General features: G+C 41.0%; 1 protein-coding gene and 2 long non-coding RNA genes across 57 annotated transcripts in view; 1 reads left to right on the plus strand and 2 right to left on the minus strand.

Moving 5' to 3' along the window:
• Positions 1 to 17,637, plus strand: part of MBNL2 (muscleblind like splicing regulator 2) — a 252,287-nt gene that overhangs the window by 90,774 nt on the left and 143,876 nt on the right. The gene's annotated exons all lie outside the window — the stretch shown is intronic.
• On the minus strand, positions 2,804 to 6,943 carry LOC107984573 (uncharacterized). Its single transcript, XR_001749968.1, has 2 exons — positions 6,861 to 6,943; positions 2,804 to 3,257 (listed from the first exon to the last, which is right to left on the minus strand). It is a non-coding gene; the product is annotated as an uncharacterized LOC107984573 (long non-coding RNA).
• Positions 10,247 to 17,637, minus strand: part of LOC101927385 (uncharacterized) — a 55,360-nt gene continuing 47,969 nt past the window's right edge. The window contains exon 4 of the long non-coding RNA XR_001749966.2: positions 10,247 to 10,298. This is a non-coding gene — a long non-coding RNA (uncharacterized LOC101927385). The remainder of the gene's footprint in view (positions 10,299 to 17,637) is intronic.

The following is a 17,637-nucleotide window of genomic DNA, read 5'->3' on the forward strand; positions in this document are numbered from 1 at the left end:
GGATTGCAGCAAAAAGGGTTTGCTTTAGAAAAACTTCCCCGACAGTTGTAAGTACTGTTAGTGGAGCTCACTAAATAGTTAAATAGACATAAGCAATTACTGGCATACTGTGCAGGCATGAGTTCAGTTTTAGCCAGAAGTCCCTCCTCACAAAGGGACTTGGTATATTGCCAAGGATAGCTAGGGCATCATCTCCACTATTTGCTGTGATTATTTGTCGGCCTTTTTCTTACTCTTGACGCTATGTGTGTGTGTGTGTGTGTGTGTGTGTGTGTGTGTGTGTGCGCACGTACACTGAATGAACTTAAACAACTTGATGGATCTCAACATTTAGACACCTTAAATAGATACCATAGGTAAAAGCTCGTTATCAACTGTAAGACCTATTCCAAAGTGAAATGTTTGTGCTGTTGTGATTTTGTTGCTCTCTATGAGAATTCTTAGAGATCCCTTTTTTCTTTGACTTCCCTTCCTGTGCAGTGCCGTTTTCTTTGATGCTCTCGCTTCAGGCTCTTTTTCATATATATATATATATATATATATATATATATATATATATATATATATATCTTTTTATTATACTTTAAGTTCTAGGGTACATGTGCACAACATGCAGGTTTGTTACATATGTATACATGCGCCATGTTGGTGTGCTGCACCTATTAACTCGTCATTTACATTAGGTATATCTCCTAATGCTATCCCTCCCCCCTCCCCCCACCCCACAACAGGCCCCGCTGTGTGATGTTCCCCTTCCTGTGTCCAAGTGTTGAGCAGGCTCTCTTTTTCTAGTGCTCTGCCTGCTCCTGCGCTAGCCCATGGTCTCTTTTCTAATGTCCTGTTCTCTCTTCGAAGTCTGTACCTGGCACCCCTACTAAATGGCACACACAGACACCTCATATTTCTGGGGTTCTAGTCACACCTGAGTCTTAGCTGGTGGAAGGAACTATTTATTTTCCCCTTTAGGAAACCAATCATTTGAAGCCTCAAGTATCAGCCTCCTGGCAGCCACCACAAAGACCATCCCCTCAGGAAACAAAACAAGCTCTATCTCTAGAGTTTCCCTGTTTTTTTTTTTTTCTTTAAAGTTCCCTGGTGCAAGTAGGCTGCAATTAAGAGTCAGGATCAAAGGGACTGGCTGCCTCTGGGGCTGCTGGGACCAGCAGAGAGCTTTGGTCCTTTTAACTACTTACTTCCCACAATGCGTGCTACTCTAGCTGCTTCTTTGTTCTCCTGGGTACTCAAGTACCAGAATGGTGGTTTGCTGTGGGAAGACACATTAGAGTCAATGGAAGAACTTTTTCACATTACACAGGATTCTGACGGCCCCACCACACCACTCCTTGGAGATCTACCCAACTGACAAAAAATACAAATATAAGGTAGAAATTAGAAGGAAATCCCAAGTGGGAAGGCATCTGAGGGATTATTAGCACAATTCCTGTCTACCCTCTTCCCCAGCCCTGACAAGCTGTTTCCAGCTATTGTGTATCTTTCTTTATTGACCGGACAATCATGACCCTATGGCGCATACAAGCCATAACATTTTGTTAGAAAATTCTTCCTCATGCTGAAATGAAATGGGACTCTGTAACCTGCACTCTTCATCCTTGTTCAGGCCTTTGGAGTAACCCTAAGCAAATCAAGTGTCTCTTTAGGAGGCGAGCCCCTTCACGTACTTGAAGATGTCAGAATTCCTCTGACAGGACCAGTATGGCACCTCCCTAATTCATGATAGAATACCTTTATATATGCAACCCAAGACACTGAGCTTCTCTGGCAGTGTTGACCCATTGTAGACTCAAATTGAACCTTGAACCAGCTGTGATAAGAGAAAGAGGTGGGGCTCTTTAACTTCTCTCAGCTTGGTTCAGGCCTGAGCACAGTGCGGGGGCGGGGGGTAGTGAATAGATGAAGGTAAAGTGTGGCGGGACAGATGATCTTCCACAACTGCATGATGGGATGCTTTAAAATTGTTTTCAGTCCCAACCACAGGTAACAGCCCCCTCCAGAAATCCCTGGCAATGTGCGGGACACTGGCTTGCAAAATTACCCACAAGGACAATAGACTGATGGATCGAGATTTAAATAAACATACATGCAGAGATAGATTGAGGTATTTCTTCACATCAACCATTTGAATAACACACTCGGGCAGTGTTTAGAGATAAGGTACACGTTTTTGGTTTTCTTCCGTCATCGTCTATGTGTTTTGGTTCAACGAGCATTTTCGCAGTAGCGCTCAGTCCTCCCGAGTTTCTCTGCGGCTCTCAGCAGCTTAGAGACACACTTCGCCATCAGTAGGTGCCAAGGTCACTGGAGGAACTAATTAATCCCAGCTCCAGTCAACAGCAGGCTGCACTAACCTGCCCTCCTTCCTCGTAGAAGGAGAAACCAGGAAGGATTTTCTCCCTCAGTTCCGCCCAGGCCTTCTTAGGGACACGCAGAGCAAACAAAGGAAGGGTGAGGAGGGGTGTTGAACCATTTCTCTATGAGGTGACCACATTTTCATGTAGAGAAGGCCCAGAGCTTGATCTGAAGCTTTCAGACTTGAGTTGATATTTAACGTAGAGATCCCCAGGCCCCTACTCTATCACAAACTCTGTCTTTTTTTTTCCTCTGTACTAGTATTAGTTTTATTAATGCCCTATAAACCCAGCAAGCATGATTTGCCAGGCCAAAAATTTGCATTTTTAACAAAAATTGCCAGCTTTCTAGCTGACCACTCAAGAGCATGAGTTTTCCCCACTCGGTGAAATTTATGTTGTATAACGCAGACCTCATTCAATAATTGATCAGAAAATGTAACTGAGAGGAGTGATTATTTTTGGAAACATTGACGACCAATAACCCAAGATACAAAGTTAGAAAACATTGCCATTTAAAACCTTGTAGATACCGGAATTCTTGTGAGTCCCCTTATCCAGGTACATGTTAGGTCTTGAGTTAATTGCTCTGTGGCTGTGGATTTTTATTTGATGTTCTGATCTCTTCCTTCCAGTTTGATAAATTAGTGTAGAAAGTGGAAGAAAAACATGCCGGCGCAGCCTGTGCGCTTTGTCAGGTTAACAGAATGGAGTCCTGCTCTGGCATCAGTCAGTGCTGTTGTCCGAACCCTCTGTGGCTCCTTCCTCCCTCCCTGGGGCCCAGAGCTGCAGACGCTAGAGGGGCATCGGCCTGGGAGTGAGGTTCCCGCTACAGTTTGGAGAACCCAGCAAATCCTGGAGTTAGGTTTCTGACGCTCCCCATCTTGCTCCCTAGTTACAAACAGAAAAAAAAAAAAATCAAAACCATATGTTCAATACACTGTCAGCCTTCTAGTGAACATGTTACCGTTAAATAATAACCGTCAGCCTATCCGCAAATTTGACGGTGATGGGCGTTGGAGCTGACCTGCCCTGGCGGAGGCTGGGGAGGGTGGAGAAGGGCGATTGTGTTTGCTTCCTTGCTCAAAATGGCATGTCGCTGGAAGCCTTCCAGCTCCTAATGGTGGAGGCATAGCAAGGACTGCATTTACCGACTTATTTCCCTCTTTTTTTTCACGTATTCTTTCTTCCCCTCACATTTTCAGGACTGAAAATTAGAAACACTTTTCTCCTACACACAAAATTACTCCCTCACACACACTTTATTTTCCCCCTGCTTTGAAGTGACAGTTGCTGCAAGAAAAGGTTTCTCTCAGAAGAGCACAGGCTGTCCTGGCCAGAACGAAGGGGTTAATTTAAAATACAGCCAGCTAGGTAGTCCTAGGGGCATGCTTTCCCTTGGGGTTGGGGGTGGTATCTGAAAGGTTGGAGGGGGTGCTCCTGGGGCTCTGCTAATATTTTATTTCTTCATCTGGGTGTGAGATGTACAGATGTGTTCACTTTGTGAAAATCCAGTGGGCTGGATACAGGATATGTGGTCTTTTTTTTTTTTTTGTCTTTAATAAAGTTTTAAAAATGTAGCTGGCTACCTTGTACTTTGTATTATAAGATAAAGTTCGTGGGAAGGTAGTCCTATATTTTTATTCTTTTCCCACTTGGACCTCCGCTTTTTATTCATTTCTCTCTTCTGGAACCTTCTGGGCTTCCAGCAGTGGTCTCTGTTCCCGCCTATAATCAGAACCATGAAGGGTCATGACAGCCAGCTTATCATTCTACCCTGGACCAGACGGAAGTTAATGCTCCAAATTAGAAACTTGAAAGGAAATGATCAGTGCTAACTAATAATGATGCTGACAGTAATAATAACAGTTACTTTGTCATTATATACAAAACATCTCCTTGTTTCTCCCTATTTTTATTTTATTCAAATGCATGAAAGCTTTGCTTAAGAGACTTTTTTTTTTCTATTTGGCAATCAAGACAAATGGAAGGAAGGAAGAGTGTGGGGACAGCAGATGACAAAGCCCTTTGCCCTTTTCTGGCGGTGTAGCCCTAGATTAGCCTGTTAGTCTGTTTAAGTCAAGGGATTGCAGATCTCAAAAAATAAATAAGGATGGCTAAGGATGGCAGGAATGCAGTTTGTGGGTCATCAACACAGATTTGAATCCCGGGGTCCCGTAGGAAGCACGAGTTACCAAATTCATTGGACCTCTGGTTTCTTGTGCCCACCTCTCAGGATTTTTGTGAAGATTTGGTAAAACAATGGACCAGAATTGCCTTATGCATGGTGAGGGACCCTTTGTCAGTGGGAAGGAGCTGATGGCATTGTTAATTTAAGGACCTGCTCTGCCAGGGCAAATGTGTTCTCCTTAATGAAGCTTTCATTGGCTATAGAAAAGTTTGCAGGAAAAAGAAATGTATGAAAGATAGTGGATGAGGAGAAAATTATTTCTTAAGTCTTTCCCATTTCCTTTCCCCTCATGGAATTTATACTCTACCGTTACAGGTAAGATGTGTAAATAAATCACCATGGTGAAGGTATTATGCCACAAGGGAGGTATAAGATGCCTGTGAGATTAGTGCCATCCAAGTAAGGCAGTCAGGGAAGGCTTCCTGGAGGAGAAAACATCTGACATGGCCTTGAAGGATAGATAAAATCACATTGTGTGCACCTGAAAAGCACCCATGCAGGTTTTTCTGGAGCATGAAGTGCAGTCTAGGGTGTACTTGGCATGGACTAAATTGTGAATGACTTTGAATGCCACCCTATGTATTTCAAACTTTATTCAGAATGCAGCAGAGAGCCACCAAATATTTTTAAGCAGGTAAATGAGGGGTCAGACAATGCTTTAGAGAGATAATTCCGTGAGCAGAGTTTAGACCTGAGAATTGCAGACGCTCAGGCAGGTCATGAAGGCATGGGCTGGGATAGCAGCAATGAGAATGAGGTGCTGTGCTGAGGCCAGGAGCAACTTACGAAGAGCATGGGCAGGATTGACTGGGGCCAAGGGAAAGGGAGGGAGTCAAAGCCGACCTGGACACGATCAGCTTAGAAAACAGAAAAACCAGTGATGCCAATGGCATAAACACACAGGAGGATGGGGGAAGACAATAAAATTGGCTCTGATCATTAAGAGTTTGAAGTCGGAATGTCCTCTGAGAAGTATGGGTCTAGGCTTCTGTAGCGTGTGGAGCCCAATGTATATTTGGAATTCATCCACAGAAGACTGATGTTTGAAATCATAGAGGAATTGAGATAGCAAAGAAAACAAGTGCAATCTAGAAAATGGTAGACGACACAGGCTTGGGTAGATGACACAGGCTTGGGAAAGCCTTACATTGAAGGGAATTTCCTAGGCACACTTCCACTGGCACAAAAATCCAAAGTGAAGAGCATTTCATCCAAGGTGAGGGCACCTTGGAACAGGTGTATGGGCCTCATAACCTCTCTCATTGCCTTTGGATCTGTGACAAAGGATCATGCTATTCACTGTGTCATAGATTAAGGCTTCCTGAAACCAGGTGAGAATGGGAAATGGTGGCAGATCCTAAAGAAAGTTCAATAAAGATGAAGACCGGGCCCAGTCCTATGAGGTGCAGAAGCCAAGACAACGCCTCTGACCTTTGGGAAAGTCCCTTTTTGGAAGAGTGCTGCGTGGGCTGCTGAACTGCAAGGCACCAGGGAAGTGGAAAGTGAAAACGATTAGGTAGGGAGTGGGAGACAGGTAGCACAGCCAAAGGGGAGATGGCGGTGAGCAGAGAAGAGGCAGGGATAAAGTAAGCAAGTTTAGGTTGGAGGGCAAGGTGTGCTGGGCTGCCTGGTGGCACCTGGGGCAACTTTTGGCTCATTGGAGGCTGCCTGCTGGGGATTCATGAGCTGAGGCCACTGGGAAAAAATGGTTTTTGAAAATTGATAGGCTTAAGTATGATTCTGCTCTACCAGGAAAGGTGAAAAACATTAGATAAATGTGAAGGAAGGTGGTGAGGTGAGGTCTAAAGGCGTCTCCAAGGAGGCTTCCAGAGGCCTTTGCCTTGAAATGAATTCTGCTCTACTCAAAATAACCGTTTCGGAGAGGGCTCAAGATGCTACATCCAGCCTCACTGCTAATCAAACACGATCTCTGTATTACCACAGGCATAACTGCAATACAGAGACTGCTGCTTCTTTCTAAAGTGCTATACAAATATTTTTTGTACTACTGTTTATTATTTTCTTTAGCTTTTCCCTTCATACTACAGGGTATCAGCAAAGGCTAATTCATGTGCCTAGATAACTCTTCTCCTAAATAACAACCTGCCAATATAGATACCTCATATGGAATATTTTTAATGTCTCCTTATAGTAATCTCCATGCATTTTAAACTTGAGCCAATGTCTGATAAGTAGTAGATGCTCAATAAATAATGTTTGTGGAATACTTGTGAATGGCTGAAGTGTTTTAGTATTGAGGCAGGCATTTCTCTAGATAATTATTAGCTATGAGTCATACTCACAGAAATCCATAGTCCATCATCTATACAAATATACCCAGAAGTTTATATGGTGATGAAAAATGAATGCATTTTCCCCCTGGGAACATATGCATCTCTATGAAGTTGTGCTTTAGTGCTAAAGAGAGGCCAGCTATGCTCCAATCCCTTCAACCAGGGATCTTTTTTCATTTAAACTTCAAAGAAGTTTGGCTGATGAAGGCTGTGGACAGAGAGAAACTAAGTGTGAGATACGTGAACTGTGAGTTCTCTGGAGCGTCCTAACTCTTAAAATAAGTTTTAGCTGCTTGAGTGCTGTAGGATAGATACTTCTGGTTATGTGTGGCTGCACAAAATGTACAGCACGTCTGACAAAATGGATTGACCTATTTCTTTGCCCTTGAGGGCCACTCGAAAACTTAATAAAAGACAAGCACATCTACAGACAAACCCAGAATAAGATTTGTAGCCACTGGTACAAGGTTGTATTTCTGGACTATATTCACCTCTCCACCCAACTCCAACCCCAGGAGAAGAAGTTGTATTTTCTTTCCATACCCATTTCAAAAGCTCTCCCAAGTTACTCTGAAGGTTGATTTTGTTAGATACACATACTCTTGGGAAGCTTGTTAGAAGGACAGATTCCAGGGCCCCACCCCAGACTTCTGAATCCTAGGCCCCACCTCCCATGATTCTGACTCGGGGAGTCTGAGGTGGGGCCTAGGAACCCACATTTATTGCTAGACTACACAGTGATGTTGACACAAATTATTCACAGACCTCCTGGCACAGGGGTTAGGAGAACATTCAAATCCTGCACCCAAATCCTGGCTCTGCCACAGACTAGCTGCACAACTTCAGGCAGATTTTGACATCGATTTGAATCTCAGTTTTCTTATCTTTAAAATGGGAGTAATAATTCCCACTTCTTTGGGCGATGCTTGGGATTAAATGAGATCACCTCATGTAACTTAATTACATGAGAAAGTACTTTCTACACTGCACAAAATATACATTAATAAATAAGATATAGTTATCTGGGGTGGACATAAAGCTATTAGAGAATAACCACCAATGAATGCTATAGACCCTCTAAGCAATTCTAGAAAGAGCAGGGGCTTTGACATGACTATTTCTGCAAATTCTTAAAGGCTTGATATCCCTCACAAAGATCCCATTGTTCTTTTAGCAAAATGCAAGAAGGCTTTTTATTCTACAAAAGACTTTTGGGAATGTTTACATTTGAAGGAGATGGTAAAACACTGGAGCATGTTACCCAGACTAAAGGAATCATAGTATTTCTAGGATGATTGAAATGTAGCTGCTTTTGAAAACAGGAGGGCTGGGCTACATTTGGAAAGTTTCATGTAGTGCATGTGTGAAAATGAAGCACTTGAACGAGCTCCGTGATAGGCCATGCCTTGAGCTGTTTTGGCACAGATAAAATTGCTTCTGTCCTCACTCGGGCTGTTTTTAGGTTGTTCAAGCAGATGGTAACTGGCTCACACAGGGGCCAAACTCCTGAGCTTAAAACTTTTGGAAATGAATGACTGACTGACTGAATGAATGAATGAATTTCCTCTGGGTCCAGGAAACACTCCCATTATATCTGCCGTTCCATTCTAGCCCTCTGGTCCCTCAGGAAAGGTTAGCCTCTTTGTTGCTCAGAGCATGAATATGTAAGGATTGGTTCAAGGTGTTTCCTGGAACTGAAGTCCCCTTCCTTCCTGGATGTGCTGACCCAGTTGCCTGTGTTGGAAGACTCAATATCACATGTCCTTTTTTTTCCCCACTGAGAACCCATTAGCAGCAGAGATACTTTCACAAGTTAGGTGTTTGCTGGAGCTCTGGGTCATAAGATTTGGGTCACACACAACCAAGAGGAAAGAAGTGTGGTACAGAGTCCATTTGATCAGCACACAGGGAGAAATAAGAACAGAAACGTGAAAAAAATTCAAAACAGAGGAGGGAGTGCAAAGAAAAATGTATGCTACTCTGAAATCTAAGTCTCCGTTTCAGCTTTCAGTTGAGAAAGGTTTTCAATATTTTCCAAATCAAAGTATATCTACAGATCTTCAAATCCATTGTGAATCATTTTCAAAAGGCTTAGTCCTTTCATTCAGAGCACTGATTAAAATCCAACTGTGTGCCTAGTATCCTGATGCTAGGTAATGAAGTGAAACAATCATGATTGGTAGCAATGGAATTGAGCAGTTAAGACACACATATGCATAAACATTGCACACACGCACGTGTGCAACACAGGCATGCACCCCAAAAGCCATTGGAGAACCCTGAGACCAACCCTATTTCACTTGGGCCCTGGATACTTGCTGCTTCATTTAAGGTGGGAAGGAGGGAGGGGCCATCAGAGTTAGGCGAGTTGGGTCTGACTCCAATTGGAGTGGGCCTTGTGTTGAGCTTAGAAGGATGCCTGGTTTGAGATAACTGTGCAGGAGAGTGGCATACATCCCATATCAAAGGAAACCACTCAAACAAAAGCCAATAGGAGGAAATGAGCTCTTATTGTGTGCACACATGGGGTTCCTCCGAGAGGAAATTGCCTGATTGAGGACACTTCCGATGCCTTCTGAAGCAACAAGGAAAGGCTAGGCCCATGTTCCCACAACTCGGAGAAGGTGTCTCCCTCAACCCTGGGCTAGCTGCAGTGAAATGGGTAGGATTTTGACGACACCACTGCCCACCCCCAACACACTCCTAGACCTCCAGAAACTTCAATTACAAAATGTGTCTTTGGAACCCAAAAGGCAATGTTCTTCTTTGTGCTTTAGGGTGTTTAGATCTAGGAAAGAGGAGGGAGCGGGCACGTGGCTCAAATATGTTGCTCTCTTCATAGCCAAGGCTCCCGCATTTCTTGGGCTGCATTAGGCAACTGAGACACAGCCTGTGCCTTGCAGGGTCACCTTGTTACCAGGATCCTGTTGACTCCCTGGTGCAGGTCAGGCCAACTGAGATGATGTCCCTGGATCTGCTCAGAGGGGTTTTACATTCAGTCCCCTCAGCTAGACAGTAGAGGCATCAACAATCCTGTTACCTGCCGTCTTCTACCCAAAATATAATCCTGACCCTGAACTTGTGATTTTGCAGGGCACAGAGTGGTGTCTGAGACTTGTCCTCGGCCCCATGTGGAACACAGAAACATCCCCAGTCCCCGAGAAATGTAGGGTCTAGAAGAGGAGCATACATTGCAGTTGACATAGCAGAATGAGGACTTCCTGGGTCCCGGGAGCCCCCCGGGGTTGGGGATGAGGGTACCTAAGAAACATTAAAAGAGCTTGGAATAAGCAGGACTTACTTGTTCCTTTTTTTTTTTTTCCCCCCTCCTGTACGTTGCTTGATTGACAGTTTGAGAACAGTTAAGCTTGGATCTGTGGGGATGCTACTATAACTGGCATGTATTATGGAGTCGTTGTCCAATGACATCATCCTCTGAAATTGGTGCTGGTGGAAGGAAAATGAAAGCCGACTGAGCAGGGCTCCGCACGCGGCAGTCCCTCCCCTCCACTGAGCGCATGCGCTCCTGTGCAGGCGTCTCCTTCTTGCCCTCTATCAGCCTGAAGCCCCAAAGCTTGGGCATGAGCTCAGAGTGTCACCAACCCAGCCAACCCCTCCCATATATCCCCCACTGCCCAAGTGACTATCTGCAGCGGTGGCCAGTGGCAGGCACGGACAGTGGATGTGGGAGAGAGAGTTGAACAAAAGACAATGTCCCTTGAACATATCAAGTTCCACTGCAGTTTAGGTAGATGCATTTTCAGTTTACCCTGGAGGATGAAAAATCAAGGTTCTTAGATTGCCTTATGGACTGCTCCTGACGGCTTATTTATTTAGTCAGTCAACAAACCCTAAGTGAGTAGCCAGCATGTGTCGGATGCTGTACTAGGGGTTGGGCTACAAAGATGCATTAGCCTGGCTGCTATTCTGGCCAGGTACAGCAGCAGCAAGGTCAGCCTCAAGGAGGTGAGGATAAATGGAAAGGGGGCACAAGGATCAGGGAGGACAGGACTGGCTGGCTGGGGTAGTAGGGGTAGGGGACAGGGCTGGTCATGATTTTCCAACAAGGGATTTGAACTGGGTCTTGGAGGATGCCCCATATGCCAGAAATCAACGAAAGTGGAGAAGCACGTCAGTCTTCTAATTAGCATGTTCCTTCTAATTAGTTGCTTCTAAGGCATATCAAGTTGCATCTATAAGCTAAAACTAATAGACAATTGAGCATTTAACAGTTTCTTTTTCTTTTCTCTTTTTCTTCTCTCCTCCCCACCCTTGGAGGGGGAAAAAACAACAAACGAATTAAGAGCTAAATTTGCCAGCAAATAGCATTATGTGGATGCAGAGAAAGAGGACTATTTTGCTCATCCTGGATAGGGCTGGGTAACTGAGAATTTTATCCTCCGGCATGGATCTTATTTTGTTATCATTCATCAGAAGTGGCAGGAGAAAAAAGGTAGAGGGAAACTTCTCTGTGGGCTTCTACATGTTCTCCCTACACTTCTGTCTTTCACAGTATCAGAAAGGCAAGGGGGAAAAAAACACACTCTGGTTCTTGATCATAGTAAGGACAGTATTTTACCCTCTCTTTTGGCTAAAAATGACCAAATAAAAAACAGATTCATCTCATGTAACAACGAATAATGGTGGTTTCAAAGTCCTCACAGTTTAAAGGCTAACTTACAGGATTAGGTCATAGACATGCTTGTAAAATTCCAATGTGATTCTTTAGTCATATTTAATTTCAAATATTATCACACACCAACGATAAAAATTTTAAGAAACCTGCTAGTGAAATATTTTCAATGAATTTAAGTTTTCATGCATTTCAAACACGATGACTTTTGTAGCTGTCCTGAATAAACACAAGCTGTAATTTTGAAAGCAACAAATTGACGGATGCAGAGAGGAAACCAGGCCAGTGTCTCGTTAACACTGCTGAATAGATCAAGATCAGAAAAGCCAAGGAAAGCCTGTCATCTGCTAAGAGAAATCGGGAAACAAATAGAGACAAGTCAACTTATAGTCAGTATGAATCCCCTAACCATTGAACTTCACTGAGAACCATGAAACTTTGACTTTTTTCATGTATGAACAGCACTTTTGTGCCTTTGTTTTACAATGTAGACCAACGACTAGATAATGTGCCTTGTTCTTCATTGACTTTGTAATCTCATTCTTTGCCACAAATATAATGGCCTGTTTGTTTTGCTGCTGGTGCACATTGGTCAAAGAATCAGACATTTGTTTCACGGTGCTTGTTTTGAAGAAATCAGTTCTGGGTACATCTTTACACTGCCCATAAAAACAGGGGCTTATCTGGGTGAGAGATACACCAGGTCTGCACTGGGATGGGCTTACATTTATCCACTACTATAGAAAATGAAATTGAAATATAATAAAACTGCATTTTAATCTAATTACTGAAGAGCTTGAATTATAGACTATTCATAAAGATGTACAGTTTTATTCATTATAATGACACACAGCAATTTGAGTTGGCCAAGAGTATTTTATCTAATAATGACCATTAAGAAGTTCTTATTAATAAAGAGATAAGAATGATTTATAAGTAAGATTACAGGTATTTTATCTAAATAAATAGTAATAAAACTCCTGAGAAGTTTGGTCTCAGAAGTAGGGTAAATATTCCCATTAGGATTAGGTTAAGACTTAATTTCTTCAACAAGCACACCCTCTCTGCCCTTTTGTTAATAAATAGTTCAAAAGTAAACTTTAGCCCAGTCTATAAATGGTTTCAACTCACAAAGGAATTCTGATCAGTTGGTGGTGGCTGTCTGCCTCAAAACTTGCTTGAAGAAGTTTTTGGGTGCCAAGTCTAAGCTCCCAGGGAAAAAGTGCTGGGATCACTTAGTGATACCTGCCATGGACAGGATAGGGGGAAGGGAGGAACAGATACTATTCATTTGCTACCCTTGGCATATCATAGGCTATTCCAAGTGGTTACAAAGCTAGGATTCTCACAAAAGTCATCCCCCGTCTTCTCCCTACGAAAGCGTAATAACTTTTATGTTGCTGGTAACAATGTTTCTAGATGTCACCACAATCCTGAAGTTGAAGGTTCTTTCTGCAAGGGTGGTAGGCATTTCACTATCTTAATTGATTTAGACCCTAAGTAAAGAAATTGAATTTACTAAAGGTAGCCATGTACAATGCATTTTTATTTCTACTAAGTTGGAGGAATAAAATTATTTAACAACTCTTCTTTCTCCTGAATTTGATATTTAGGCAGGAGGAAGGGCTGTTACATTGGATTGAGTCCATCGAAATGGTATTTTAATATTTCATTTTAATTTTGCTTGTAATTATTATTGCACTTTTTGAAAGAAAATACTTAGTTCCTTCCACTGAAACAAATCTGAAATTCAGAGCCAAGTCCATGCAGCAGCACAATTTTCCATTATTTTGAAGTTAAGTAACAGATGATGAGTAGGACAAAGGAAGGGAACTAGTGCCTTTAAAGCACCTACTATGTTTCAGGCACTTTGATTTACTTTCAGAATGTTTTTCTCCCTAATTTAATGCTCCCAGCTACCTAAGAGATATATGGTATTACTACATTTTATAGATAAGAAATGTGAGGTTTAGAAAGGGACTGTTTGTTCATTGTGGAACTTAAATTGGAACTAGCCTCCAAAGTTGGCTGAAATTTCTGTTTGGAATTCAGAATTTGAATGCATACCACTTGTCCCAACTTATAAACAGGACTCTTGTAGTGAAGTTTTTTGGATTGACTAATATAAATTTAAGAACTTTAGCATTTTTGAAAGCCGTTAATAACTGTTGGCTACTGTTATTTCACACACACACACACACACACACACACACACACACCTATTTATGTGGGTGAATCCCTATTGAACTTCAAACATTTATTGCAAACCACTTTGCCTTTTTATTTCAAAAAGAAAATGTGAATGACTACTCCTTATGTTAGAAAATTATTTAAAACCTAAAAAAGTGAAAATTTTACATGAGGATAAAGACTGTTAACGTATACAATAAAGTCAGCAGTGCGTGTAAGAAATCTGAATATCGTCCTGACATTTTATATGTGTGTAAATTGAACTTCTAATCCAGAGAGAAGTCTGCTTTTAGTTAACTACTGCGAATAAACTTCTGTTTCTAAAATTCTCAGTCTCTGTCTTTGGGTAGGAGGAGGCAGCGGGATTTGTGGCAGAGAGATCCCCTTCCACCCCACCCCGAAGAGGCATTTTATTAATTTCTCTTGCTGAATTTTTGACCCTGTAAAGAAAAAAAGATGCATTGTACCAAACCACGCTACAAGACAGGCTCCTCCAGACGGGCTTTTTCCTTCCTGCTGAAGGACATGGATATCGGCTTTATGAGCTGGTTACAGTCAGCTTTATCGCCAAGCCAGTAGATTTTCTTAATATACTTATTGCTGTTCTGTAAATAGCACAAAGGCAATCATGAATCTGAATCACTTATGGGGTCACAGTGAGATTGATAAAGGTAATCTTGGGAAGAAAGTGTTGAGTAGCCTAAATAATGAAACTAGTAATTGAAATTCTTTCTTATTGTGCAGGCTGACAGTCTCGAAACCAATTCTTTGAGTACCTATTGTCTATCTCTGAAATTTAATGAGATAATGCATGCTAGAAACACTTTATTCACCATACACAATTCTATGTAAATGCCAGCTGATAATATTAAAGATAATAATTGTATTAAAAATTTTAACTAACACATGAAGAGAGCTTCGAGATTGTCTAGTATGTTTCTTTACAAAGTTGATTGATTAAAAACTGCAATATGTTTTATTTGTTTCCTTATTTTCAAGAATATTTGGAAGAAAAAGCACTTGAAGCCTGGCTTTATGGTAATAATATAAAAACCAACAGGGCACTGGGTTTTTTTCCTTTAAAATGGTATGCCACCCTGATTTTTAAAATTCCAAGTTACCCTTTGATTCCCCTTAAAAGTGAGATAGGAGAAGAGATATGCTGTAAGTTCTAGGACAGGAGATGGCTAAACATGAACCCCGACATAGGTCTTCTTTGTGCTCTTAGGGTTGGCTTCATTTCTCTCATACCTGTTTCTCTTGTTTATTGATTGAAGTTAATGATATAACTTGGAGCATTAGAATATTCCAATGTAAAATGTCATGGTTATTGAGGCAGTGGTGTTACTTATAAAAAAATTGTTTAGAACTCTAATATTTTCTTTAGTGCGTTCATTAAACAGCTAAAAGAAAGCAGAATGGTTAATTAGCAATATCATTTATTCCATATTTTAAATCACATTCTAGTTCATTCATCATTTTACTTCAAATAGCTTCATAAGCAGTTAATATTTGAATCTGCAGCCAATTAATTGCTCTACCTGTGAATTTTACCCCAAAATATAGGTTTACCCAAATCTAGAAAACATTTACTACTCAACACTTTCTCCCCAATTACCTTTTCAGTCTCAAAGCGTATACGACAAACCCTTCATCACATGTTCTAAACTTTTCATCAGAAAACCTTGTTCTGGTTTAGTGTTTTAATGCTACATTAGAAATGATATTTCTTGGCAAATACTCCTTTCCATATTTATTATCTGGATTTAGCATGTAATTATTTATTATTTGCATAGCAATTCACTTTTCATTATATATACGTATGTGTGTGTATACACACACATATACACACATACATATATATATTTTAAGATGGAGTCTTTCTCTGTAACCCAGGCTGGGGTGCAGTGGTGCGATCTCGCCTCCACCTCCTGGGTTCAAGCGATTCTCCTGCCTCAGCCTCCCAAGTAGCTGGGACTACAGGCGTGTGCCACCACAACCAGTTAATTTTTGTATTTTTGTATTTTGTATTTTTAGTAGAGATGGGGTTTCACCATGTTGGCCAGGCTGGTCTTGAACTCTCGACCTCAGGTATCTGCTGCTTCAGCCCCACAAAGTGCTGGGATTACTGGCGTGAGCCACCGCACCCGGGGCCCCATAATATTTCATAGTCATGGTTGAGGCTCTTGTACATGGGTGAATAGCTTAGTTGGTTAAAGCAGGAGACAGTGATTATAAGTCCCTGATACCACAGTCTCATATTTCACCCCAGACCTGAGCCAACCATTCCCAAAACATGTGCTATGGGTCTCCAAAGGGACAAAGCCCTAGCGTAATATCTCTAACCATTTAAAGCACAAAAAGAAAGAAATCTTGTGTTTATGATTACTGTAAAGAATAATAAAATCAAGATAACTTTTTTTTTAGAATCCTCTCTTTCTTCTAAAATCCTATAAAATCAGATAAAGAAAAGGTGGGACAAAATCCTAAATGTAATGTTCAAACTGTCATATGTGGTGCCTTAATGGTTAATTTTCTATTAGTTATGTTTTATTATTAGAAGCAATAATGAGCAGTTATAATTTAACATTTTTATGCCAAGTCTATGGAAAATGTTATGCAAATTTTACTATTATTAGAAAGCTACAATTTGCAAGCCATTGTCACTCCATTCTTTTATTTAATCTCTTTTCTTAAAAGTGGCCACCCCCAACCCCACTCATTGTGAGTTGAAATTATTCAAATTAATGTCAAGTTGTTTATATATTAAACTATATTTTACCTTGATACTTAGTTTTTAAAAACACATAATTTCTGCTACACAATTTGGACAGCAGACTGTGATATATGATATGCCTACTATATCGTCGTAATGGGCAAGGTTCATTATAACAAAAATGTGTCCAGACTTAGTGAGATAATGTGAATTCCCTATTTCTCAACTTGCTTGCATTTTAAGATGTTCAGTCTGGAAAGTGTTTCCACTGTTTGTGAATGATTGTCCCTAGATGGTGGTGACATTTGACCTATTGTTCAGTTTTGAAGATGGAAATGACATGTTCGCAAGCATAAAAGCCCAGGGGGCATTTTTAGAATTTTTGTCTTAGAATGTTTTTAGTTTTATTTTATTTTCTGATGATAAAATACTTGCTTCCTCAAGGAAAAATATATAACATTTAATATCTTCTGGTAAACACTGGAGCCTGACAGTCTCCATTGCTAGAACACATGGTTTTTAAGAGCTGCTTAATGTCTGATGAAATGAAGATATCATTATTTATTTTAGCATTTCCTGTTGCTTAACATTTACATTGGTTCTAATTGCTTATTTTCATAAATTGTGCTGTGATTAACATGCTGATACATAAATATTTAATCCCATGCCTAATTTTTTCCTTTAGGATATATCCCTAGAAGTGCGAGCTTTAGGAGCCGCTGAATTTTCTTTACCCTTTGCATATCTGAGAAGGTTTTTCATTTTCATGTTGGAAATAAAATGCAATTGGGTGTACTGTTTTGAGTATTAGGTTTCCCCCCTCAAAGTTCTATAGACATATTTCTATTGGCTTTTGCTGTTTTATGCTGCAAAAGAGAAGTTGGAAGCCAATTGATTTGTTTGTAGTTAACTTTTTTGGGCAGGAGGCTAAGTAACTTTAGAAATCTTCCTTTGTCTTTGTGATTGCTACGAGGTTCCAGCTTGGCAAAGCTTTTTGCTGGCTTAGCCCAGGACACGGAAGTCTGGTTGGTTCTTCTTTCTCAGCTTTTTTTGGAACTTTCCAAGATTCTCTAAGCTACAGCTTTTAATTATTGCTTCTATTTCATTTGTTCTTTATTTCTTTTTTCTCTCCAGGAACACCAATAATTCTTAGGTTGAATCTTTGTTTTCTGACTTCCATATCTGCCAATAGTTCTCTGAGCAGTTTAATCTCTTTTCCATGTTTCTCTATATTGTGTAAAAAAAAG

Source organism: Homo sapiens, chromosome 13 (assembly GCF_000001405.40).
Source record: "Homo sapiens chromosome 13, GRCh38.p14 Primary Assembly".
Lineage (NCBI taxonomy): Eukaryota > Metazoa > Chordata > Mammalia > Primates > Hominidae > Homo > Homo sapiens.